Genomic DNA, 25,418 nt, shown 5'->3' on the forward strand with positions numbered 1-25,418 from the left:
CAGGCTTGAGCCACTGCGCCCAGCCAGTGATCACTTATTTAGATCACTTACTAAAATCATTTAATTATGTCAACACCTCTGTGAAGTATGTACTGTTATCACCATTCCCATTTCATAGATGGGGAAACTGAGGCACAGAAAAGCTAAGTAAACTGCTCAGAGTTACAGAGCCTGCGAGGGCCACAGCCAGAATTCAAACCCAGGCCATCTGCCTCCACAGTCCACTTTCTATGTCCCTCTCCCGAGATGATGTCCCTTTCCCAGGGGTGTCTGGAAAGGGTCTGGCCCCTGGTCCCAGCTCAAGCAGCTGTCCAGGGAAGCCTGAAGACCTGGCCCATCTCCACTGCCCACCGGGCTTCTCTGCGCTCCACTTCCCAGGTGGACTGTGGAGGCAAATAAGGCCCCAGCTGCAGCCTCTGAAGACTCCTGCCAAGCTGGCACTTTGAGGCCTGGGGGTGTCCCAGGGGATCCCAGCCCAGCAGCTGGGCTGACCTCAGGGCCAGTGTTTCCGTAAACACCCGGAGAGCCAGCCCCACGTGGTTGATCTGTGGGTTGCTGGCCAAGAGGGGCTGAGGTTTGGCTGACCTCGTGCGGTTTCTTTCAACAAGGCTACTTCCACCCCCTCCGCCTGGCTGGGCTTCCAGTAATGAAGTGTTTTCTCTGGGGCTAGGGGAGCTGATGGGGCTGGTGGCGTGGGGCACTGGGGTCTTCCTGTCCCACGTGCCCTCCACCCTGGGCTTCTGGAAGCTGGTCTAGATGCCCCTAGCTGCCGCCTGGGCAGCCCATATGCCCACGCCGGTCCCTGATAGTGAACTGGCCCGTAAGGGGACCAGGTCTCGGGATCTGAGCATGGAGCAGGGGCTGCGCCCAGGAGATAGGGTGTGGCTAGACTTTCCCCTGCTGGTCCTTTCCGGGGATCTGAGGGGAAACTTCTCCTGGGGACACACCCGGGTAGCTCAGAGATGGAAGAAAAGGTCTCCATTACAGCTGCCACCTCTTCCCCACCCAAAGAGAGTGTCCGCAGGGGGCCGTGGGGCAGGAGTGAGTACTGAAGGAATACTAACCACGATCACTGCTACCATCTCCTGAATGTCACTGCCCCAGCCCTTTAATTCTCACAACAAACCTTGGAAACTGAGGCTTAGAGAGAGGAAGTGGCTGGCCCAAGGTCACATAGTGAGTAAATGAGCAGAGCTTCTCCCCCTTTCCCTTGAATCACCTCTATCTTCCTGTCCAGATGCCAGGCAGCAGGAACTAGCAGGTGCTTTTGGGTCATCTTTTAAGAGGCAATATAGCACAATGAGTGAGAGCAGGGACTCAAGGGCCAGCCACCTGGGTTCAAATCCCAGCTCTGCTTCCTACTGGCTATGTGACCTTGGGCAAGTCACTCAACTTCTTGGTTCCTCAGTCTCCCCACCTGTATAATGAGGATAATAATGATGCCTCCTTTAGGGGGTTTCTGTGAGGATTGCATATACACGTGACACATAATAAGCCCTGTGCCATGCTAGTTATCCCAGCCTCTCACTCTTCCCATTGAAAAGGTGAAGACACAGACCCAGAGATGGAGGCAAATTCTGCAGGGGTCATGCCCGGGGCAGAGCATGGTTCAGCTATGTCTCCTATGGTGCTGCCAAGGAGCCACCATGGGCTTGAGCTGAGAGGAGCCACCTGGCACCGGACACGTGACCTCCTCGAGGGAAGGGAGGCTCTGCAGAGAGCAGGGGATGGTGGAGGAGCCTGGCTTTATCTTCCATCCTTCAGGAGCGGGGAAGGGCAGTGTCAGAGCCAGGAGAGGAGAGAAGCGAATGAACGTGCTGTGTGAGCTCCAGTCAGTCCCTACTGACTCTGGGCCTGTCACTCCTGCTGAGGGACTCGGGTGTTTGGACTTTTAGACTTGGAGGGGCTCCTCGGTGGGGCCTTGGGGGCTGCTCTGGGTGAGGGCTCTCACCATTTGCTTCATCCCAAACCACTGTCCTTGGGCCTGTTTTAAATATTAGAGTGTAGCATGGGGTTTTGCTGCTCTAACAAAGGGTCAGCCATCTTGAGAAGGAGGCTCTGTGATGAGCAGGGAATGGGGCTCCCCTGCCCCCCCGAGACCCTGGGGCCCAAGCTGATGACTGGCCAGTGACTCACTCCCTTCTCAGCATGTCCTGTCATCCCATGACTGGGAGCCCCTCGGGGGTGGCTCCTAACCAAGGTCCCCCTGACCAAGGCCTCCCCCCACCCTCCCCCTAACACACATAGAGACTGGGAACAATTAACTCCCTCCTAAGGCCAGACCAGATGTTCACGTGGGCATTGGTTTTGTTGACCACATGTGACTCAGGAGCTCCCTCAGAGCTGGAAGAGTCCCAAGAGGCTAAAAGGGCAACCTGTCACGTCACAGCTGGGAAACTGAGTCCCAGAGAAGCCAGGTGAGTTGCCTAACATCCCTCAGGGGTAGAAGGGAGGAAGGAACCTGGAGTTCCCATGCCTGACCCAGAGGCTTTCTACCTCTCCAAATAGTTCTCGGATGTGCCCAAGGCCTCAGTCCCCATTCCTACCTCCAGTTGCAAATGTCCTCCCCAACTACACAGAGCCTCTCAGCTTCATCCCACCCCACCTCCAACTGGCTCTCATGGTTTCATCCAGGCTCAGCTACTTGCAGCTCCCCAAATAGCTCCTGCTGTCAGGCCACCTCCAGGCCTTTGTACTCTCCTGCTGCTCTGTTTTATTTTCCTCTTCACCTGGACAACTCCTAATCTTGCTCCAAGACTCATCTCAGGTGTCACCTTCTCCAGGAAGCCTTTCAAAACCACCTCCTCCACCTCCCAGGCTGGGTTAGGTCCTCCATCTCTTCACCCTCAGTACCTAGTATCTCCCACTTACTGTGCTGGAATCATCTCTTTGCTTGTCTCTATATTGCCCTCTAGTCTGTGAGCTCATTGTGGACAGAGACCTTAGTTTTTATTCTTAATAGTAGGGAATGACCTATTACATTCGGTGTTTGCTGAATGAATGCATAAGTGGATGGATGGATGAATGAATGAATGGTTGGATGGAAGAATAGATACATGGATGGATGGATTGATGGATGGATGGAATGAGTGACCAAATGGTAGATGAATGGACAAATGGACCGACAAACATGGAAGGATGGATGGATGGACAGATGGATTGATGGACAGGTGGATTGATGGACAGGTGGGTCGATGGGCAGGTGGATGAATAAATCAGGCAGATAATGGCATCTGTAGGGACTCAGACAGTGAGGGCTAAGTCCCTGGAGCCTGGATATCCTGACTGATGAAGGTGCTCTTGGATGGGAAGGGAATAACCTAACCTGTTGTCTTCCTACTCCAAGAGATATTTGGTCCAGAACAAAGCCACCCCTGCCCTGGTGCCTGCTCCCTTCTGACCAACAGGTTCCAACTCAGTGGGGTCTCCTGAACTCTGGTAACTCATCTGACACCAGAGCCTATAGGAATCACCCTGTCTCTGACATTCAGGGATTCTGCATTCCTGAGGCCCTCCCTCCCTGCCTCTCTTCAGGTCAGAGCTGCCGCCCCATAAATGCTTTCAAGCATAGAAACATACACCCCTAGAGCCAGGAAGTTGTAAAAATGATGGGATTCACCCCTCTACCATTTTTGCAGATGAAGAAACTGAGGCTGAGCAAGGCCAAGAAACTTGCTTAAGGACACACAGCAATAGAGCTGGGATAAGAGCTTGGGTCTTTCAATTCGTTTATTCGTTCATACAGCAAGTATGTATCTAGCGCCTAAAGTGCCAGGCTCAGTGCCTATTCCCGGGCATGCTAGGCCTGTGCATAAGCTTTCATGTTAATTTAAAAGCTATTTCCATCCTCCATATGACCTCCTCCAGCTCCCCAGCAGGCTGGTCTATGCCTCACTAGCTGCATGCCTGGCATGATCCCTATGACAACACCCTCTCCCAGCAAATGAGGACCACTTCATTGTCAGGAAGCCTGGCTGGGACTGGTGTGTGCTGCCGTGTGCAGAGGAGGCAGTCACATGTGTGTGCTGTGAGCTGCACATTCCATCCTAGCCTTAGTGAGGACCGTATTAGTCCCTGCACGCTCATCCTTGCCAGCTCAGACTGGAGCCAAGCATTAAACTGTTCAAGCCCCACAGCTGCCCCAGGCGAGCCATTGCATGGCACCTGGGAGCTCAGGGCCAGGAGCAGACCTCTGAATTCCTGCCCAAACCAGGGAATATGTGGTGAGAGGAGGTCATAGGGAGGTGCCTGGGGGCTGGACATTTGCAAGCCAGCTGAGCAGGCAGTACTCAGCACTTTCCTCTTCACCCCTCCCACCATGGCAAAGGCAGGGGCAGCGTGGGCTAGCCAGCCTTGGAGAGATGGAGCCTCAAGTCTAGGGGCAGCAGCCCAGCCTCGGGCGAGCCAGGGCTATTTGCTGGGCCTTCTATGAGGCTTCCATGAAGTATGTAACCTCGCCGAAGACATGGAACTACTCAGAGTCATTAAGAGCCAAAGAAAGGCTCAGCTGCGTTTAACAGAAAAGCTTCTGGGAACAAATCAATGAATTGGAGAACAAAGGAAGACTGCAGAAGACGAACAGAACCAGAAGCCATGTCTAGGATGAAATCAACATGAGGTAGAGAATCCTGATGACATTGATCAGGATGAAAGAAGTATGAGGCAAGGGAGTAAAATCAAATGCCGAGTAAAAAGGGGGAACAACGTTGACCAAGGAATTTGAAGTTAATTTAAGAGCTGTTATGAACAATACAAAAAAGAAAATTATAGGCCCATTTCACTTATGAATATATAGATAGAAAAACACTAAACAAAATATTTGCTGACTGAATTCAGCAGAGTTAAAATAATGACACCACATCACCATCAGGAAGCGTTTATCCCGGAAAAACATTCCAGAAAATCCACCAGTGTAATTCACTACATCATTAGATCCAAAGGAAAATCTATGATGTCAATTGATGTGGAAAAATTTTTTGATAAGTTCCTTTTGTATTTATGATGCTTACAAATTTGAAAATTCTGGGAAAATGGAGAAATTAATAGAAAGGTATAAAATGTCAAAAGATGGGCCCAAGAAGAAATAGAGAATTTCAGTAGGTCAATCAGTATTACAGAAACTGTAATGGTGTCAAAGCCCTCCCACTCCCCTAAAAATCAGCCTAGATGTTCTCATGGGTAAGTACTGCTGAACCTTTTTTTTTTTTTTTTTTTTTTTGAGACAAGGTCTCATTCTGTCGCCCAGGCTAGGGTGTAGTGGCCCAATCCTGGCTCACTGCAACCTCTGCTTCCCAAGGCTCAGGTATCCTCCTGCCTCAGCCCCTCACGTAGCTGGAACTACAGGCATGCACCACCACACCCAGCTAATTTTTGTATTTTTAGTAGAGATGGGGTTTTGCTATGTTGCCCAGGCTGGTCTTAAACTCCTGGACTCAAACGATCCACCTATCTAGGCCTCCCAAAGTGCTGGGATTACAGGTGTGAGCCACCGCGCCCAGCCTGCAGAAACTTTTTAGAAACAATTAATTCGTATCATATGCAAGTTGCTTAAAAAGAAAACAAAAGAAAAAAAAACCAACCTATCTTATTTTAAAAGTGTTGTCTTGATTATAAAAGCCAGATAAGACAATACCACAAAGGAAAGTATAGGTCCATTTCACTTATGAATATGGATAGGAAAACACTAAACAAAATCTTTCCTGACTGAGTCTAGCAGAGTTAAAATAATGATACTACATCACCATCAGGAAGGGTTTATCCCAGAAAAGTATCCACATCTGAAAATCCACCAGTGTAACTCACTACATCATTCAATCAAAAGGAAAAATCCAACGATGTCAGCTGATGCAGAAAAAGGTTTTGATAAGGTCTTTATGTATTTATGATTTTTAAAAATTCTTAGCAAACTAGGAGCATGAGAGAAGTTCCTTAATTTAGTAGGGATTTTTAATACCAAAAACCTACAGAAAATATTGCTAGTGGAGAAAAGTTTTATATAATACATGCCTTTTAAGGTGAGGAACAAGGCAAGAATGCTAGTTATTACTGCTACTGTTTAATACATAGAGCTGGAGAGCTGGGCTGAGCTACAAGGAAAGAAAATAAGAGGTGTAATTATTGGAAGGGAAGAGATAAAACTGTCATTGTTTGTAGATGGTGTGATCATCTACCTTGAAAAACCAACCAAATAAACTGACAAAATATTAGAACAAATAAGAGAGTTCAGCAAGGTTGCCAGATACACAGTCAGCAACAAAAATCAATGACGCTTTTACATCAGCAATAACTAACCAGAAAAACACAACATAATTTTGACTTAAATAGAAAGGTTTTAAAATAATATATACATATAAATATATTATATATAAAATGCATATACATATATATATACACACATGCACACATTTTAAAAGCACAGCTGGCTATGGTGGCTCACGCCTGTAATCCCAGCACTTTGGGAGGCCGAGGTGGGAGGACTGCTTAAGCTCAGGAGTTCAAGACCAGCCTGGGCAACATATTGCCAAAATTTTTTAAAAAAACATTTAGCCGGGCATGGTGGCACACACCTGTAGTCCCAGCTACTAAGGGGGCTAAGGTGGGAGAACTGCTTGATTCCAGGAGGTGGAGGCTGCAGTGAGCCGTAATTGCGCCACTGCACTCGAGCCTAGGCAACAGAGCGAGATTCTGTCTCAAAATAAATAAATAAATAAAGGTATATATATACATAAGTATAAAAATAGCGTATATATATAAAACATTATATCTCTCTCTACACACCACACACACACACACACACACACACACACACACATTATTATGTTTCTAATCACATGAATGAAATCTACATGTAGGGTGCATTTGGCAGCTCTGGGTGTCATCAGGGATCTGAGTTCCTTTATTTCTCCTTCGCCCTCTTCTGCACACGAAGTCCATCCTCAGGGTACCCTCATGGTCCAAGATGGCTGCAGAACTCCACCATCACGTCCGTATTACTGACTGGAAGCAGGAGGCAGCAATCAGTGGTGGTGGAGTCACCAAAGGGAAGCCCTTCCTTTTAAGGAGCCTTTCCAGAATCGGCACACAACACTCCTGCTTGTATCTCCGTGCTGGAACCTATCCCGTGGCCCCGCCTCCTGCAAAGCTGAGTGCGTCGCCACCCCAAACAAAAAAATCAGTGTTTGGTGACTGAGGGAGGAGGGAAGAAGGATATTGGAATGGGCATTGATCAGGCTCTGTCACAGATCTCAGTCTCCAAAACACGAAACTGGGGCACTGAGGTCCAGAGAAGTGAGGGAATTTACACACAGCCACAAAGCAAATTAGCAGCGGAGTTGGGATTTTCACCTGACTGTTGACCTTCCCATGGTACAGGTGTCCCCTCACACCCTGGTACATCCAGCCACTACAGCACTGCCCCTCCTCACTTCCAGCCCTGCTGGGGTCAGGATCTGTTTTGTATTTCTCTGTCCCCACTACCTAATGTCACACCTGTGAGCTCCACCTCCCCAGCGTCGGCTTGGGACTTGGCATGGGGTAGAGGCCGTAAGCGGGAAAGCGGGCACACACCTCGGGAGCTGACAAACTGCAAAGGGCTTTCAACCGCAGATATTTACTTGTGGCTTCCATATGCTGTACCTTGATGGTGATGTTTCGTAAGTTTCACTTTTCAGATGCATTTTTTTTTTTTTTTTTTTTTTGAGATGGAGTCTCACTCTGTGGCCCAGGCTGGAGTACAGTGGCGCGATCTGGGCTCACCGCATCCTCCGCCTCCCGGTTTCAAGCAATTCTCCTGCCTCAGCCTCCTGAGTAGCTGAGATTACAGATACGGGCCACCACGCCCAGCTAATTTTTGTATTTTTAGTAGAGACAAGGTTTTGCCATGTTGTCCAGGCTGGTCACGAACTCCTGACCTCAAGTGATCTGCCTGCCTCGGCCTCCCAAAGTGCTGGGATGACAGGCGTGAGCCACCGCGCACGGCCAGATGCATTTCTTAGACGCTAAAAATGTTCAGCCTGGCCCAGGCCTGGAAGAACATGCAGGCCGCTTTTATTTTTATTTTTTTTTAACAGATGGAGAAACTGAGACCCAGAGAAGCAAAAGTGTGTGTCCCAGATGCCAAGGTACCTGCGGCAAAGAATATTACCTAGATGTCCCTCACTCTGGTTCTCCTTCATTGATACACATGGAATGATGGTATTTCCCCGCCTTCCTTGCAGTTAAGTTGGGGCCATGTGGCTAGCTCTGACTAATAAGATGTGAGTAGAAGTGATGATGTGGCTTCTCCATCCCTCTTTTTTCCTGCCAAGGTGACCTTGGAGGCCACCGGTCTAGAACAGGGATTCACAAACTGTAATGTGCATGCAAATCACCTGGGGGTCTTACTAAAATGCAGATCCTGATAGTGGGGTCTGGGAGTCTGCATTTCCAACATGCAACCAGCTGATGCTGATGCCATCGGTCCTTGGACCACACACTTGAGTAGGGAGGAGCTACAGGATGTGCCTGGCCCACTTTGGACCATTCACGAGCAAGAAATTAGCTTCACTGGGTTAAGCCACTGAGATGTGGGCATTAGTTTGTGATCTCAGCACAGTCTTACGGAAATTGTCATTTAGCCATCAACCAACATTGACTGAGTTCCTACCATGAACTCCTGTGTGACCTGGGTGCCTCATTCTGAATGAGGTGCTCACTCTTGGGGTTGTGCAAGTGCAAGGTCAGCAGCTGAGAATGAGAGCCTCCCTAAATGTTATACCCGACATGCCTCTGTCACCTCACCCTGGTCCCAGCCCTGTAAGTCGGTAGCGGGAGCCGGGATTTGAAGCTCGGACCTGTTGACTTCTGAGCTTGTGCTTCCTCCTGGGAAAGCAAAGGACAGCCACACTCACCCTGGGCCCTTGTGTGGGGGCTGCGGCTGCAGCCAAAAGACTCATGGGTTCCCTGGATGCTTATATCCCTCTGGTGCCAAAATTGGACAGTTTGAAGGGAGGGCTGAACCGCAGCAAACCAATCAGCAAAGTGGCAGCTCCCACCGCTCCTGCCACACCCACTCATGCTGAACTGTGTGTGCAAGCTCCATCCCTCACACTTCATCACCAAACACCCTTGATGATGACGCCTGCTTCCTGATCTGGCCAGGCCCCAGGGCCCCTACTGCCCACACTTTCCCATCCTCAGTTATCAGACAGAAAAAGTTCCAAGAAAAATCCATGCTCTGACTCAGAGGGCCCTAGGTGGGCATAGCACTCTGCCTCGTTCTTGCCACCTCCCTGCCCCGTATGGCCCTGTCTTCTTCACCATACGTGGCACCCATGGCCCACCTCACCTCCTCATTGTCAAGGTCTCCTTGCTCTGCTATGGACATGGCTGGGACCAGCGTGTCTCCCTCCAACTCTCTTCCTCACACCTCCTCATTTCTCCCGTCTTCCTTCTTGCCTCAGAGATAGAAGTGGCTTAAAACTGTTCCTTTCAGGAACAACTAATCAGTGGCCACAGAGGTCAGAATAGCGGGTACCTGGAGGACAGAGGGTAGAGTCTTGGAAGGGGCATAAGGAAACTTCTGGAAGTGTAGCTTGACCTGGGTGATTATCACATGGGTATATACAGTCATGTATATACATATGTCAAGAGTCAAAATTAGCCAAACATGCTGCCTCATGCCACCAGCTACTCAGAAGGTTGAAGAGGGAGGATCCCTTGAACCCAGGAGGCTGAGGCTGCAGTGAGCCATGTTCATGCCATTGCACTCTAGCCTGGGAGACAGAGTGAGACTCTGTCTCAAAAAAAAGAAAGAAAGAAAGGAAAGAAAGAAAGAAAGAAAGAAAGAAAGAAAGAAAGAAAGAAAGAAAGAAAGAAAGAAAGAAAGAAAGAGTTGTCAAGCTCTACACTTCATATTAGTGCACTTTAAGCACTTTTCTGTATATACATTACCTCTCAACTTAAAAAACATTATCACAGAGAGCTCTATGGACAGTAGCAGAAATAAACAGCATCAAAAACTGAAACTTGGGTGTTGGAGTCATATGAACCCGCACTGAAAACCTGGCTCTGTTTTCTAGCTGTGTAGCTTTAGGCAAGTTACTTAACCTTTCTGAACCTCACTTTTTTCAATTGAGATGTGGATCATGAGGATTAGAAATGCTGCTTTTTATAAACAGTGCTTAGCACAAGGGCTGGATCTTGCTGGGTGCTATACACAATTGCTTTTATTTTTATTAATATCAGTGGCCTAGGGAGGACAGGAAAGTCGGAGTGACCTTTCCTGGATGCAGGCAATAACGGGTGGGGGGCCTACAGAATTTAAAGATAAAATAAAACTGATGAGAAGTCAGTCTGCTTTTATGATCACTGTGCAATGGCAGATCTAAATAATTTCAGTGGTAAAATACTTTGTCCTGAAAATACCCTTTATTGATCTAAGTTCTAACAATTGGTGCAGTAACTGTTGGGGTTTAATAATGTATATGTAAAGCTTCAAATCAGCACATTTTTATTCTTATCCTTTAATAAACATATTCTACATGGAAGTCAACTTGACTTGGAGAACTTTAAGAATCCTATAGTTGCCCCCAGAGCATGTGGTCTCAGGAACACACATCAGTTGAGAGTAAGCTCCTCACAACTCTGGAATCTTCCAAGCTTGCTTTGAATGCATTCCTGTCTCCACCGTCCAGCATTCATATTTCTGCATTTATTTTTATTATTATTTTGTGTGTGTGACAGAGTCTCTCTCTGTCGCCCAGGCTGGAGTGCAGCGGCAAGATGTCGGTTCACTGCCACCTCCACCTCCCGGGTTCAAGCAATTCTCCTGCCTCAGCCTCCTGAGTACTTGGGACTATAGGTGTGCACCCACCACGTCCGGCTAATTTTTGTATTTTTTTTTTTAGTAGGGACGGGTTTCACCATGTTGGCCAGGCTGGCCTTGAACTCCTGATCTCAGGTGGTTCTCCCACTTTGGCCTCCCAAATTACAGACGTGAGCCACCGGCCCAGCTGTATTTCTGTGTTTAAACAGTAGAGTGAAATCAACTATGAACGCAGAATGATGGGAAAGATGACGATAAGGGTATTTCAATTTTGTCATTTTACGAAACTACTTGGAGTTTTGATTTGTATTTACAGTTTTTAAAAGAGTAAAACAGTGTGAACTGTGAATGGTAATGATTTTGTTTGGTAAGTGCAAATTTTAATTCATACATGAAAAATATTTGTTTTGTTTCATGATTATTACTGAAAATAATTTTGTACTATGAAGGAAGAGGGGTGTTAAAAATGATCCACTGTGGATGTAAATTATTCTAGGCATGCTTCTGACTAAAACATTAGCATTTCCACAAGAATCCCAAAAAATAAAACAAAATTTAAAAGATCCCTTCTGTTTCTTTTCCTCCAAGTTTCCAGACCCCCATCTCCACCCTGGCCACCTCTTCCTGCCATAAATAATCAAATCCCACACTTTCATCTTCACCTTCCGTTTCCATTGCCTCTTCCGATGGGACAGCACCCGTGGGGAATCTCCTCCATGCTCACAATCCCCGTCTTGCCACTATATCAAGTCACACTTCTTCCTCACCAATCGCCCATTCTGGAACCTCTGCTATCCAGCTAGATCACTTTGAGGTTTGGACAACTACTGGTGGAGGTAATGGGGGCCCCAGACAGCCCTTGACATCACCTCTTTTATCTTTGCCAAATTCTACAAACAAAGCCCATGTCTTTCTGTCCCCCGCCCCCATGGCTGGCACATAGTAGATGTCCCCAAATCTTGGTGATGTGAACTTGTGTGTCTCACCCTTCACAGACATCACCATTTCCCGTTGCACAGAAGGCTCCACTCATACCAGGCGCTTTGGCTCCCAGAATAAGCAGGCTATCATGCTATGTCCGACATCTAGGCGTTGGTACGTACTGTTCCCTTGGCCTGGAACATTCTGCCCTCTCTCACCCTCTCTTTTCTTGGCTTTCTGAAATGGCACCTCCATCAGAAAGTGTCCCTCACTCTTGGTCTGAGCAAGGGACCTTGCCTGGTATTCCTGAACTTCCACCTGTTTTCCCTCTGTTTTCTCCCTCTCTGGGCCTTGTCCTCAGGTCAGTGTTGTGCCTCCAGCTCCTGCAGAGGCGAACTCAGAGGCGGCCGAATGAAACCAAATGGATTTGGCTTGACCCCATCATCTAGCGGTGCCCAGCAAGCGCTGGCACATAGTAGGTCCAGCCTGCCCGGACTCGCCCACCACGGGCCCCCTTCCAGAGCCGGGAGGCAGGCCAAGGGAGGCCCCTTATTGCCAAGAGCAAACAGGCCGCCCAGGGAAGTTTTGCTCTGGGTCACACCCACCTCTGGGTGGCTGCCAATCTGCCTGCCAGAAACCGCAGGCTGGGCCGCGGCTACCCAGAGTCAGGGCCACGGAGCTTAGGAGACCTTGGGTCAGCTCTGCAAAGGGGTTGTTTACTGAATGCTTCTGGTATCTGCAGCCCCGCTGGGGTTCGGACAGGGGGTCTGGAATAGGGCTTCACAACTACAGCAGGGCTAGGACCCTCTTGGGCTGGAAGGAGCTGGAGAGGCCTCTGCAAGCTGTCACAGGCTCTTGGTGCTGGCACTGGCTCAGGCTTTCACACACACACACGCGCACACACACACACACACACACACGGACAGGCACCCCCTTGGTGGCCTTCACAGTTTCACCTTCAGGTAAATGGGCTCATCCTTTGAGCCATGAGGATGGGAAGCGAAGCAAGGAATGAAAAAGCTAGTGTGTTTGTGTGTGTGTGTGTGTGTGTGTGTGTGTGTGAGCGCGCGCGCGCGCGCGCGTGTGTACTCGTGCGTGTGCCTGTGTGTGCCTGGGAGTGACCTCACAGCTGCCGGAACATAAAGACTCACAGGTCCGCCTCCCAGGCTCAAAGCTGGCTCTGCAGGGGACATGAGAGGCACACCGAAGACCCACCTCCTGGCCTTCTCCCTCCTCTGCCTCCTCTCAAAGGTAAGGAGGCCCGGGCCCTGGAATGCACTGCTGACTATTTGGGTGTGGAGGGGGTGGGGATGTAAAATCGCAGCCAAGGACCCCCTTGGCAGAATTCCTCCAGGGCCCCACATTGGGCACAGTCTGGCCCCCATGCCTAAGCAGGGCTTCTCTCCCTGGAACTCAGAGCTGCCTCCGGCCAGCCCTGCTGTGTGACCTCAGATATGTGTCTTGCCTTCTCTGGGCCTCAGCATCTTCCCAGGTGAAGGGTATACAGTTTGTGAGGCCTCTGTGAAGACCATTCATGATCATTCATCAAACTTACCAGGCAAATTGAAGAGGACTTTAATGTATCCTCATTATGAATGGGGGCACTCAAGACATGACATGCTTGGCCTAACTCTGAGCCAGCATTTGGATGGATGCCTAGCTGATTGGAAGGTTCATTCTGCAAGGGCATCAATGCTGTTGGACTCTTAGGCAGTGAGTGACCCGCCCGCCCTAGCTAGAGGGGAACAGGAGACACCTCTGTGGAGTAATGGCCTTATCCCTGAATGCTGCATGGGACATTCACCAAAGAGCCTGTGGGACATCTACCTTGTCTAACATGCACAACAATCCCATAAGGAATTTTCAGTTAAGTGAGGCTCAGAAAGGGTAAGCAACTTGCAACCCCAGTTTTCAGTCAAGTGAGGCTCAGAAAGGGTAAGCAACTTGCCCAAAGCCACACAGCAAAGAAAGGTCAGAGCAATAGAGGAGAGCCATGGTGGAGCCCAGAATGACATGGATGTAGGGGGAGAAGCACTCCAGTCTGTGCCTCCCCAAGCCCAAACTGGACCAAGGCCACAGCTGCTAAGCCTTGTCATCCCCTCGGCAAATGCTGAGTTCCCAGAGCCATGGAATCGGCCCCACCACAAGCCACGATCTCACTGTATTTTCACGCTCCTTTGAGGAGCACGGGCAGGAGCTTCTCTCCCTCAGGCTCCAAGTCTTCGTGCCTGGGAAGCCTGAGAACCACGCTGGCATCCTGTCCTGCTGTTTGTTCTTCCAAAGGGGATGGGTAGGGCATGATGCCAGTGTGGGTGGCTTGGGTAGTTGGAATAGGGGACTTGGGGCTCTAGGAGGGAGAAGGGGCCCAGGATTATACGAGAACAAAGTAAAGCTGTCCTAGACTTGCCATTAGGGTGAGACTTACGGGACCATTCTTCCCTGGTCCCAGGAAGCAGGGACTGCACAGAAACACAGGGACTTAGTCACCACAACATGGAAAGCCACAGCAACCCTCAGAGGGAGAACTGTAAGTCTTCCAGGCTGGCCGTTGGCTCCGGGGCTCCTGGCTGTGGACCGGGGCAGGAGGCAGACACCTGGACACAAGCAAAATCACATTGATCAAGGACTGGCCAGAACCTCATTTAATCTCCATCATCACTCAGAAACAGGTTGTCTCTACTCCAGTTTACAGAGGAGAAAACTGAGCTTCACCTCCACCTTCCAAAGCCGTTTGTCCACATGTTCAGTCACGTAGCAAGTCACTGGCAGAACTTGAATCTCAACTCTTGCCCAAAAAACTCCATGCCCAGTACTCCTGCCCCAGATATCATGAGCCTTGCCCCCCACCACCAGATATCACAGCAAGGCCCTGGGGAAACTGAGGCACAATGGGACAACTTGAGTTTGGGCCTTGGATGTCAACTTGAACTTGGATGTCAATCCTGATTCTGTCTCTTACTGGCTGTGTTACTACACGGTTTGAGCTCCAGTTTTCTCATCTTTAAAATGGGCATAATGATGGCACCTCACATTGGAGGGGTAAATGAGACAACAGCACTTGGCACATGACATACATATGGTATCACATGAGATAATTGTACACTAGAATAGTTGATATCATTAATAGCCTCTCCTGGGTATCGGGGCCTACAGAGTCCTGCCCCCTGACAAGCATGGCCAGTAGAGGGGTCCACAGTGGGAGCCAAGGTGCACAGCTGCTGGTCTATTTCCTGGCACTCCTGTTTTCAGGTGGGAGGGACCTGAGAGTCATTTCTGACAGTCCTCCCTCCATTGCCCACAAGCCAAGGGAGCTGAACCTCTGACTTAGAAGGGAACCCAAAAGCCTAGACCGTTTCTATGTGAATCACCTGTGGATTTATGAAAATGCAGATTCGGGCTGGGCGTGGTGGCTCATGCCTGTAATCCCAGCACTTTGGGAGGCCGAGGTGGGTGGATCATGAGGTCAGGAGTTTGAGACCAGCCTGGCCAGCATGGTGAAACCCCGTCTCTACTAAAAATACAAAAAATTAGCTGGGCATGGTGGCATGCACCTGTAATCCTAGCTACTTGGGAGGCTGAGGCCTCCCAAGAATTGCTTGAACCTGGGAGGCGAAGGTTGCAGTGAGTCGAGATCGTGCCACTGCACTCCAGCCTAGGTGACAGAGCAAGACTCCATCTCAAAAAAGAAAAAAAAAAAAAAGAAAGAAAAAGAAAAGAAAATGCAGATTCGGATTTATTATATAAAAATTCAGCTTCGGATTTATAGAGGGGCTCCAGATGCTGCCTCTCTGACAAGCTCCTAGATGACGCTGCTGCTGCTAGTTCAGACCACACCTTGAGGGGCGAGGCTAGGCCATCGTCTCTAGAATCTGAACAGCCTGCAGCGATGGGATCCACTCCCTTGTGAGGCAGCCAGACACCTAGCTCCGTGTGTCCATCTGCTACTCAGTGCTGTCTCAGTGGGGGCTGTGATCGCCTCCTACTTTGTGGCCCCCACCAGAGGCTGGTCAGCCAGTTTGCAATGGCTCCTAGTGGCCGGCGTGGGAGTTGCCGGGAACTGAAAGCAGGTTTGCAGGATTGTGGGTAGTGGGGGCACTGGGCGGGGCAGAGGGTGAGGCAGAGCAAAGGGGTCATTGCCTGCTTTGGGGCTGCACAGGAGATATGAGGTCATTAATTCCATCATTATAAACTGCAAGCCTCCATTCCTCTAGATGAAACCCTCATCCCCTAAGGATCCTACTAAACTCAAACTTGGCCCCCCAAAGATGGGGCCACTGGAAGCATCTTGAATTATACTTCCTTCTTGGTCCCCACCTTCAAATGGGCAGACAGGGAGCTCACGGCACCTGCTGTATGCTTTGGTTGTTTCTCTGATGTGGGTGGCGAGGGTCAGGCAGGCCACATGGGCTGATACCCTGATCCTGTCTCTGGGGAGTGGGTCCCTGGCTTACGGACACAGTCTACCCCCATCCCGTGTCCCTGAGTCCTCACTTGGGAAGCAGGACCGGGGACGCTCCCAGCCCTGAATCGAACACACTGACGTGTGCTAAGTTCCTGTCCCTCTCTGGAGCTCAGTTTCCCCATCCGTACCTGGCAGGGGGAGGAGGTTAGACTGGGGCAGAGGTGCTGAAAACCTAGCTGAGCTTCAGAAGCCACTGGACAGCTTATTAAAAATAAAGATTCCAGGTCCCTGACTCTGGGACTTCTGATTTTGTAAGCCCCAGAGTGGGTTGGGGGTCTGTATTTTCCCAAGTCTCCTGGCTGATGTGATGTACCTCCAGAGCTGGGACACATGCTGAATGGATCGAAAGGCCAAAAACATCCATGATATGGTTCAATTTATTCAGTCCTAAGATAAGTATCCGTATGCTGGAAAATGTACCAGACCCTACCATTTTCATCCTTGACTTGTTGCTTTTGCCTTTCTGTAAGCTCCCAGAGGGCTGGGGCTGAGCCCTCTGCCACCATTAACAACAAGGATCATCAAAGCTAAGTGCAGTGAGCGCCTACTGCATGCCAGGCCCTGTGCTGAGGGTTTGCTGTGCAGCATTTCATGTACTCCTCAGAGCAATCCTCTGAGTTAGATACTTTGAGGAAACTGAGGCTCAGAATGCTTAAGTAACTTCCTCAAGGTCACTCAGCTAATAAGGGGCAGAATTAGAACTGGAAGTCTAGCCAGGTGCAGTGGCTCATGCCTATAATCCCAGCACTTTGGGAGGCCGAGGCGGGCGGATTGCCTGAGCTCAGGATTTCAAGACCAGCCTGGGTAACATGGTGAAACCCCATCTCTATTAAAAATACAAAAATTGCCAGGCATGGTGGTGGGCGCCTGTAGTCCCAGCTACTCGGGAGGCTGAGGCACGAGAGTCGCTTGAACCCAGGAGGTGGAGGTTGAAGTGAGGCTGGGATCGCGCCACTGCACTCCAGCCTGGGCAACAGAGCCAGACTCTGACTCCAAAAATAAAAATAAAAAATAAAGAACTGGAACTCTAGTCCAGAGTCCTTGCCCATAACTACATGCCATACTGCCTCTTAGGGCATGTTGTGGGACTACTGGCCTTTGAGGCCAGGTCTGCATGGCTCTGAGGCTAAGGTGTGGACACCACACTACCCAGCCTGGCAGAGAAGTGGCTGGTTGTGAGGGTCTCACTGCCCACCTCGAAAGCCCGTGGCTGAGTGAGGTCTCTGTCTCTTCAGGTGCGTACCCAGCTGTGCCCGACACCATGTACCTGCCCCTGGCCACCTCCCCGATGCCCGCTGGGAGTACCCCTGGTGCTGGATGGCTGTGGCTGCTGCCGGGTATGTGCACGGCGGCTGGGGGAGCCCTGCGACCAACTCCACGTCTGCGACGCCAGCCAGGGCCTGGTCTGCCAGCCCGGGGCAGGACCCGGTGGCCGGGGGGCCCTGTGCCTCTGTAAGCAGGTTTGCAGGACTGAGTGGGGGCGGGTGTGAGCGGGAGGTCAAGGCCGTGGTGTCCTGGATCAAAGTGCAGCCCTCCTCTCTCTACCTCCTTGGGTGCTCACTTCAGGTATCCCATCCATTCCAGCTGAACTTGGTGTCCCAAAGCCCACTCCCCACTCCCTCCTCTCCCTTCTTGGCCTCTGCTTAAACCATCTCACTACCCCAATAACCTTTCCCCATCCCTACCTGTCCAAATCATTGCCAACTTTCAAAGCCAAGTTCAAACAGCTTCTCCCCTGAGAAGCCCCCCCAGATTCTTCAAACCAGATGCCACCACTCCCTTCTCAGGATCCTTACAACACTTTGGGGAAAATAAAAGTGCAACCTTTTAGGGCATAATATGTGTCCAGAACTGTGCTAAGCACTTACTACACAAGTCACATCATCCTCACAATAACCCTATGATGGGAAGTACTTTCAGACCTATTTTATGAATGAGGAAACAGGTTCACCAGCATTAAGGGACATGCTTCATGTCACACGGCACGGGACCAGATCCAACGGGCTCTAAGGAACAGTTTATTCTGTCTTCTCCCATAGTGGGGGCCCTCGGAGCACTGCTGGGATCCTGGGTTTGCCATGTATTCAGCAGTCACCCGAGCATGTGACATTCCTCACCACTCTTCTAGGCCTTGGTATTCTCTGATGCTTCGGGGCAGGGCTTTGCAAGCTGGCTCCAGTGACTGGGTGCCAGAGAATTAGTTGTTGTGGGAGGGCTGTCCTGTGCATGGTAAGACTTCTAGCAGCATCCCCGAACTCCACCCACTGTATGCCAGCAGCACTCCCCATCCCCCAAGTCATGACAGTCTGTCTTCAGACAGTGCCAAATTTCCCCAGGGGGCAAAATCTCCAGTTGGGAACCATCACTTTAGAGAAATGCAAAGAGGCAAGAGATTGTTCTTCTTTTTTCTTTTTTAATAATAAGCCTTGTAGAACAATTTGCCTCTTTCATCTATGTGCATGTCACACTTTTATAAAAATAAGAACGAAAGAGAGAGAGAGAGAAGCTCATGAATCATTGATAATGAATTCATCTGTAGGAAAAGCCTTGTTAAAAAACAACAGGCCAGGCACAGTGACTCATGCCTATAATCCTATCAGTTTGGGAGACTGAGGCGGGACGACCACTTGAGCCCAGGAGTTCTAGTCCAGCCTTGGCAACATAGTAAGATCCTCTCTCTATCAAAAAAAAAAAAAAAAAATTAGCCGGGTGTGGTGGCACATGCCTGTGGTCCCAGCTACTTGAGAGGCTGAGGTGAGAGGCTCGCTTGAGCCTGGGTGTTTGAGGCTGCAGTGAGCCATGGTTGCGCCACTACATTCCAGCCCGGGCAACAGACCAAACCCTATCTCCAAAAAAAAAAAAAAAAAAAAAAAAAAGTAATAACTCCATGTGAAATGCTTTATTTACAAGTACTGTAAGGATAAGGAGGGTGATTCGTTACACTGACTGAGGGATGATTGCTTATGAAAATGTATCTGAAGAACAATTGAGATAAGTAACACTTCGCTTACAAAGCTGTTATTTACATTTGCTGTGACACGTGTAAACAGCACCCACAGAGTTTATTTTACACTTGCACAGCCCTTACCACGTGTAAGACACTGAGGGTTTCACAAATATAAACTCATTTAATCTCACAACCACATGAGGTAGGTACCCTTCTCTTATAAATGGAAAAAAGGGGTACAGAGAGGCTAAGCAACTTGCCCAAGGTCACACAGCTCATAAGCGGCAGAGCTGAGATTTGAACTCAGGGAGCTGGCTCCACAAGCTCCATTGCTCAACTGCCTGACATGCAGCAGTTGATTAGTACATAGGCTGTGATTGTTAATAACTGTATTAAGGGATTTTTCTTATTCCATCTTAATTCAGACTTCAAACACCTGCAGGCCAAAGGCGTACTTGGGTCCCTGGTCCTTCCTGCAACTTCCCACCTTGGTCTGTCAACATGATGGGTGCTCAACAGTGTTTAATGATTTAAACTGAATTTAGAGGCCGGGAACTGGTGAACCCCAAAGAGTCCAGCTAAGACATCACAAAGGCTCAGTCTAGGGCTTTGCAGGGAACATACTGCCAAAAACCTCTCCCATCACTTACTCGTTGAACGCTCTTCTCTAAGGGCCAACTCTGAGCTGTGAGATGTGCTGCAGATTCACCATCGTGATAACAGCGCATCCAATGCCGGGATCCTGATCTTCCGCCCCCCAGAACGGCCTCCCCAGTCTGTTGAGAGCACCTCCATCCTTCTCATGGCTCAGACTCAAGACCTGGGAGTCGTTCTAGAGGTCTCTCTATCTCTCTCTCTTTTTTTTTTTTTTTTTTTTGAGATGGAGTCTCACTCTTTCACCCAGGCTGGTGTGCAGTGGCAGGATCTCAGCTCACTGTAACCCCATCTCTTGCGTTCAAGCGATTCTCACGCCTCAGCCTCCCAAGTAGCTGGGATTACAGACACATACCACCATGCCTCGCTAATTTTTGTATTTTAGTATTTCAGTAGAGACGGGGTTTCACCATGTTGGCCAGGCTGGTCTGGAACTCCTGACCTCAAGTGATCCACCCGCCTCGGCCTCCCTAAGTGCTGGGATTATAGGTATGAGCCACCACAGCCGGTCTAGACATCTCTCTTTTCTCACCTCCCACATACCACCCACCAGCAAATTCATCGTGTATTTCCAGCATCCGACACTCCCATCCCTTCTGGTCTGAGCCCCGTCATCATTGGCCTGGATTTTGCAGTAGCCCCATAATCATCTCCCTCCTTCTGTCGTTGCCCCTGGTCTATTCACAACACAGCAGTCAGAGAGCTCCTGGGAAGTCATAAGCCAGATCACCTCCCTCCTCTGCCCCAAGCCTTCTGGTGGCTTCCCATCTCAGAGGAAAAGCCAAAGTCCCCACAGTGGCCTACAAGGCCCCAACAGGATCCTGTTCATGCTTCCTCTCTGACCTCCTCTCCTCCTGCTCTCTGCTCCAGCCACATTGGCCCCTTGCTGTTCCTTAAATACCCCAGGCACACTCGTGCCTCAGGGCCTTTGCACTGGCTGTTCCCTCTACCAGCATTATTTCTCAGCAAGGCCTTCCCTGCTGGAGGATTAGATGAGCTAGGGGACTTACAGCATTTTGCCCCAAGCCTGGCACATAGCAGATGCTACGTGGAAGCATAACCCTCTCCTGTTTATTGAGCATCTGCTATGTGCCAGGCTTGGGGCAAAATGCTGTAAGTCCCCTAGCTCATCTAATCCCCCAGCAGCCCTGTGAGCCGGGTACCAAGGCTCAGAGAGGCAAAATAACTTGCCCCAGGCCCCACAAGTGGGAGCCAGAGTTGGAACCTAAGTATGTGTGGTTTTGGTTCTGAAACCCCTGTGTGTGTACAGACCTACTGGAAGGTTTTCTCAGAAGATCTGGGAGAACTTGTTTGCTAATGAGTCCTTTCCCCAGACGTAGCTCAGTGGCCACCCAGGTCTCACACACACGCTGTTTCCCGTCTGCACTTCCTGAGCAGCTCACACGCTTCACCAGCGCTCTTACTTCATTCTGTCTTGGAGATGATGCCCTCACACCCGTCCCCCTTTCCCAAGCCCATGAGTCCCTCAAGGCAGGAACTGTCCTCTTTCTGTCTGGGAGCACAGTGGTTGGCACACAGGCGGGAAACAGTAAATATCTCTGGAATGATAAGGAGTAGGGCTATTTTATCAGGGTCTCTCATGTGCCAAGGCTTATGCCAGCTATTCACTGAAGGGGCATTCCTACAGTACTGTGTGTCGCACCTAGGCTCTGAGCCCACCGGAGGGTGCAGAGACGCACACTGGCCGCCCCAGCCCTCAAGGAGTTCATGTCCAGTGGAGGAAGTGGCAATAACACCCATATCTTGAGGGCTTCATTGAAAGAGTGTTCCCTGAGCACCTAGGCCATGCCTAGCACTGTGTGCTAGAGGGTACGGACATGTCATCCCATGGAACCTGAAGTTACGATTACTGAGCTCATCATTGCTGTAGTTCAGGCCACTCAGAGAAGTTAAGTAACTTACTCAAAGACACACAGCCAGCAAGTTAAGCCCTGACCTGACAGTGATGACAGCACAAGTGGACAACGACTTTGTTGCATGAAATCTCAGCGTGTATAGAATACTTAAACTTTATTAATATATAGTAACTATACTAATGATAATAACAGAGTAGCTAGGACCTATGGAAGGTCTCTTTTATGTTGTGATCATTACGCCTATCATTCCGAGTAGTCTCTACCACCCTGGAAAATAAGTACCATTATATCCCAGCTTGCAAATGTGGAAACTGAGGCAAGAAGAAGTGAAATCACTTGGCCCAGGTTCACAGCTAAGAAAGGGCAGAGTTTGGGGGGTCAATCCAGGCCTGTCTTCTTGCAATCCCTGTGCCGGGATCCAGGGTGCCCCAGCAGGCTGGTGGAGGGCTGGGGAGAGGTGCATATCCTGGGCTGGAGCCCTGGGCAGGGCCCAGCTACTGTGAGGCAGCTGCCTCAGGCAGCGGGATCTGGGCAGCTCTGCAGAGAAGGCTGTGCCGCTTTGCGGGTCACCGATGGGGGTGCGGTTTTTCCTCCGCAGTGGCAGAGGACGACAGCAGCTGTGAGGTGAACGGCCGCCTGTATCGGGAAGGGGAGACCTTCCAGCCCCACTGCAGCATCCGCTGCCGCTGCGAGGACGGCGGCTTCACCTGCGTGCCGCTGTGCAGCGAGGATGTGCGGCTGCCCAGCTGGGACTGCCCCCACCCCAGGAGGGTCGAGGTCCTGGGCAAGTGCTGCCCTGAGTGGGTGTGCGGCCAAGGAGGGGGACTGGGGACCCAGCCCCTTCCAGCCCAAGGTGAGCGCAGCGGTGGTCCAGGTCAGGGCAGGACTGCCTGGGGGCGCCAAGGGCCACCTAGGGGGTGGGGTGGGGGGCGGCTTCCTGGGTACCAGGACCCAGGGACACATCAGAAGCTGGGAGGGGCGGAGGCTGAGGAGGGAGATAAGAAAGAGGAGTGGAGGGCCGGGCGCTGTGGTTCACCCTTGTAATCCCAGTACGTTGGGAGGCCAAGACGGGCGGATCACCTGAGGTTAGGAATTCGAAACCAGCCTGGCTGACATAGGAAAACCCCGTCTCTACTAAAAATTCAAAAATTAGCCTAGCATGGTGGCGGGCATCTGTAGTCCCAGCTACTTGGGAGGCTGAGGCAGGAGAATCGCTTGAACCCGGGAGGCAGAGGTTGCAGTGAGCCCAGATCACACCACTGCACTCCAGCCTGGCCGACAAGCACGAAACTTCATCTCAAAAAGAGGAAAAAAGAAAGAGGAGTGGAGGGTCACCAGGCCTCCCTCTTTAAAACCAATAAACAAAAAGCCACTGCCTTTGAGATGTGTAATTTAAAACCATAAATAATTAAAAATAAAAACTGGGTGACAGAGCCGGGAGAGGAAAGGTGGGTTAGGGTATGTGAACCAAATTCTCACATTTCAGAGATATAATAGAGCTAAGCTCTTAGAATATATAATATTATCGTATTTATAATATATTGATACATATTAATATATTTAGTAATTTATTATTATTTGGGCTTACTAAAAAAGGAACTCAAAACTGAACGAGGCAAAGTGGCTGCTCTGGAATGTGGGCCGGGGGTGGGCTAGAGATGGAGAAAAGACAGTTACCTCCCACCGTCCCACTATAAATCTTCAATTTTAGAGATTTTTGTTGTTGCTGTGTTGCTTTTTGAAAATTATCACATGAATGTGACTTTCTAAAAAAGGCAACTGAAAAGAGGAGGATTGATTTCATAAATGCTGCTGCCACCCACAAGAGGTAGTCACGTGTTATGGGTCAGGTGCACGGCATCTGCAACAGCCCCGCCATCCCCTTTTTGCTGTGTGACTCTGAGAAAGTTGCTTAACTTCTCTGTGTCTCAGTTTCTCCAGCTGTAAAATGGGGACAATAAGAGCATCCACTTCATAGCGTTGTGAGAACTACTTGAGTTTGTTCAAGTTAAGCAGCTGTAGCAGTGCCTGGCACATGGTACTATATCAGAGGTAGCCGTTATTATCCCTGTGATGGAATATGATATATCCATTTAAATACATAGGAAAACACCAGTGAGTTCACCTTATGGATAAAAGCAGGATAAGAAGGTGTATTTCCAACTCGATCTCAACTAAGTGTGTCCCTATGCACGTATACAGGTATATCTACACATACACATGCATACACAGCACACACATGTGGGTAGAAATCAGGGTTTCTCAACGTCAGCACTAGTGACAATTGGGGCAAGTAATTATTTGTTGGGGGGGTTTTCCTGTGCACTGCAGGGTGCTTAGCAGCATTCCTGACTTCTACTCACTAGATACCAGTAGCATCCCCCCAGTTGTGATCACCAAAACTGTCTCCAGATATTGCCAAACCTTTCCTGGGAGGCAAAATTACCCTAGTTGAGGACTTCTAGTGTAAGACTAGAAGGAAGGACACCAAAATACTCACAGAGGGAGACTTGGAGCAGAGAAAAAGCTAGACCATGGTGAACCTGCCATCTTGTTCCTGGCACAAGAATCCTGGAATCTTTAGCATCCTTGCCACTGGGCCAAAGCACCACTCCACACAGGCTGGGCACCCCCTGCCTGTAAAATGCTGTTTATCCAAAGAGACGAGAAAACCATGGTTCACTGAGGGACCATCGTGACCAACACACTCTGGTTGCCAAATAACTAATATTTATGGAAATCTTACAAGTACCAGGTACTGTGCTAGGCACTTCATGCCCATTATTTTATTCAATGCCATCCACTGTTAAGAAATTTACATAACAAGAAACTGAGATGCAGAGAGGCTGAGCCATTTGACCAAGATTGCCGTGGCCGCTGGCAGGTGGGTTGATTGAGCTGCTGAGCCCTGGCTGCTCAGTGCTAACTCTTGTTCTTTCCCCCCTAGGACCCCAGTTTTCTGGCCTTGTCTCTTCCCTGCCCCCTGGTGTCCCCTGCCCAGAATGGAGCACGGCCTGGGGACCCTGCTCGACCACCTGTGGGCTGGGCATGGCCACCCGGGTGTCCAACCAGAACCGCTTCTGCCGACTGGAGACCCAGCGCCGCCTGTGCCTGTCCAGGCCCTGCCCACCCTCCAGGGGTCGCAGTCCACAAAACAGTGCCTTCTAGAGCCGGGCTGGGAATGGGGACACGGTGTCCACCATCCCCAGCTGGTGGCCCTGTGCCTGGGCCCTGGGCTGATGGAAGATGGTCCGTGCCCAGGCCCTTGGCTGCAGGCAACACTTTAGCTTGGGTCCACCATGCAGAACACCAATATTAACACGCTGCCTGGTCTGTCTGGATCCCGAGGTATGGCAGAGGTGCAAGACCTAGTCCCCTTTCCTCTAACTCACTGCCTAGGAGGCTGGCCAAGGTGTCCAGGGTCCTCTAGCCCACTCCCTGCCTACACACACAGCCTATATCAAACATGCACACGGGCGAGCTTTCTCTCCGACTTCCCCTGGGCAAGAGATGGGACAAGCAGTCCCTTAATATTGAGGCTGCAGCAGGTGCTGGGCTGGACTGGCCATTTTTCTGGGGGTAGGATGAAGAGAAGGCACACAGAGATTCTGGATCTCCTGCTGCCTTTTCTGGAGTTTGTAAAATTGTTCCTGAATACAAGCCTATGCGTGATCTTGTGTGTCAGGCCTGTGTTTTCTGAGAAAGCCCTCCCATTATCCGGGGCAGAATTCAGGGGCAGAGTTCTCTGTGAAC

At 50.1% G+C, this 25,418-nt stretch overlaps 1 protein-coding gene and 2 long non-coding RNA genes across 5 annotated transcripts in view, besides 3 other annotated features; 1 reads left to right on the top strand and 2 right to left on the bottom strand.

The window, feature by feature from the left end:
- Nucleotides 323-402: an enhancer, noted in NCBI's record as "active region_17940". NCBI's record gives its function as "activates an Ori minimal core promoter by ATAC-STARR-seq in GM12878 lymphoblastoid cells {active_cell/tissue: GM12878}" and the evidence as "EXISTENCE:reporter gene assay evidence [ECO:0000049][PMID:35858748]".
- On the bottom strand, nucleotides 5,929-12,300 carry LOC124904911 (uncharacterized). The gene is made up of 2 exons (XR_007067598.1): nucleotides 11,467-12,300; nucleotides 5,929-6,996 (listed from the first exon to the last, which is right to left on the bottom strand). It is a non-coding gene; the product is annotated as an uncharacterized LOC124904911 (long non-coding RNA).
- Nucleotides 9,388-25,418, bottom strand: part of KCNK15-AS1 (KCNK15 and WISP2 antisense RNA 1) — a 34,366-nt gene continuing 18,335 nt past the window's right edge. Inside the window, exons 4-5 of the long non-coding RNA NR_132377.1 lie at nucleotides 14,151-14,319; nucleotides 9,388-9,514 (exon numbers count right to left, since the gene is read on the bottom strand). This is a non-coding gene — a long non-coding RNA (KCNK15 and WISP2 antisense RNA 1). The remainder of the gene's footprint in view (nucleotides 9,515-14,150; nucleotides 14,320-25,418) is intronic.
- Nucleotides 12,194-12,488: a silencer, noted in NCBI's record as "tiled region #14821; K562 Repressive DNase unmatched - State 8:EnhW". NCBI's record gives its function as "represses a minimal TATA promoter and a strong SV40 promoter by Sharpr-MPRA in K562 cells {active_cell/tissue: K562}" and the evidence as "EXISTENCE:reporter gene assay evidence [ECO:0000049][PMID:27701403]".
- Nucleotides 12,387-25,337, top strand: CCN5 (cellular communication network factor 5). Of its 3 annotated transcripts, NM_001323370.2 has the most exons (5): nucleotides 12,387-12,687; nucleotides 12,892-12,976; nucleotides 17,423-17,639; nucleotides 22,264-22,518; nucleotides 24,613-25,337. In NM_001323370.2, exons 2-5 carry the CDS (start codon nucleotides 12,917-12,919, stop codon nucleotides 24,831-24,833), a joined length of 753 nt encoding a protein of 250 aa, NP_001310299.1. In that variant the 5' UTR covers nucleotides 12,387-12,687; nucleotides 12,892-12,916; the 3' UTR covers nucleotides 24,834-25,337. The 3 variants fall into 3 exon arrangements, with proteins under 3 accessions (NP_001310299.1, NP_003872.1, NP_001310298.1); NM_003881.4 differs by lacking the exon at nucleotides 12,387-12,687 and having other exon boundaries at nucleotides 12,895-12,976; NM_001323369.2 differs by lacking the exons at nucleotides 12,387-12,687; nucleotides 22,264-22,518 and having other exon boundaries at nucleotides 12,895-12,976; nucleotides 17,423-17,647.
- Nucleotides 24,235-24,760: an enhancer, noted in NCBI's record as "OCT4-NANOG-H3K27ac-H3K4me1 hESC enhancer chr20:43355350-43355875 (GRCh37/hg19 assembly coordinates)". NCBI's record gives its function as "activates a minimal SCP1, AML or CMV promoter by ChIP-STARR-seq in primed H9 embryonic stem cells {active_cell/tissue: H9 hESC(primed)}" and the evidence as "EXISTENCE:reporter gene assay evidence [ECO:0000049][PMID:30033119]".

The sequence above is a fragment of the Homo sapiens genome, chromosome 20 (genome assembly GCF_000001405.40).
Source record: "Homo sapiens chromosome 20, GRCh38.p14 Primary Assembly".
In the NCBI taxonomy this organism is placed as follows: domain Eukaryota; kingdom Metazoa; phylum Chordata; class Mammalia; order Primates; family Hominidae; genus Homo; species Homo sapiens.

Bases quoted from the DNA above. Each gene is read 5' to 3' on its own strand.
- CCN5 (NM_001323370.2), top strand. From the start codon at position 12,917: ATGAGAGGCACACCGAAGACCCACCTCCTGGCCTTCTCCCTCCTCTGC. The intron at 17,640-22,263 runs GTAAGCAGGTTT...TTTCCTCCGCAG, and splicing joins CCGGGGGGCCCTGTGCCTCT to TGGCAGAGGACGACAGCAGC. The intron at 22,519-24,612 runs GTGAGCGCAGCG...TTTCCCCCCTAG, and splicing joins CCAGCCCCTTCCAGCCCAAG to GACCCCAGTTTTCTGGCCTT.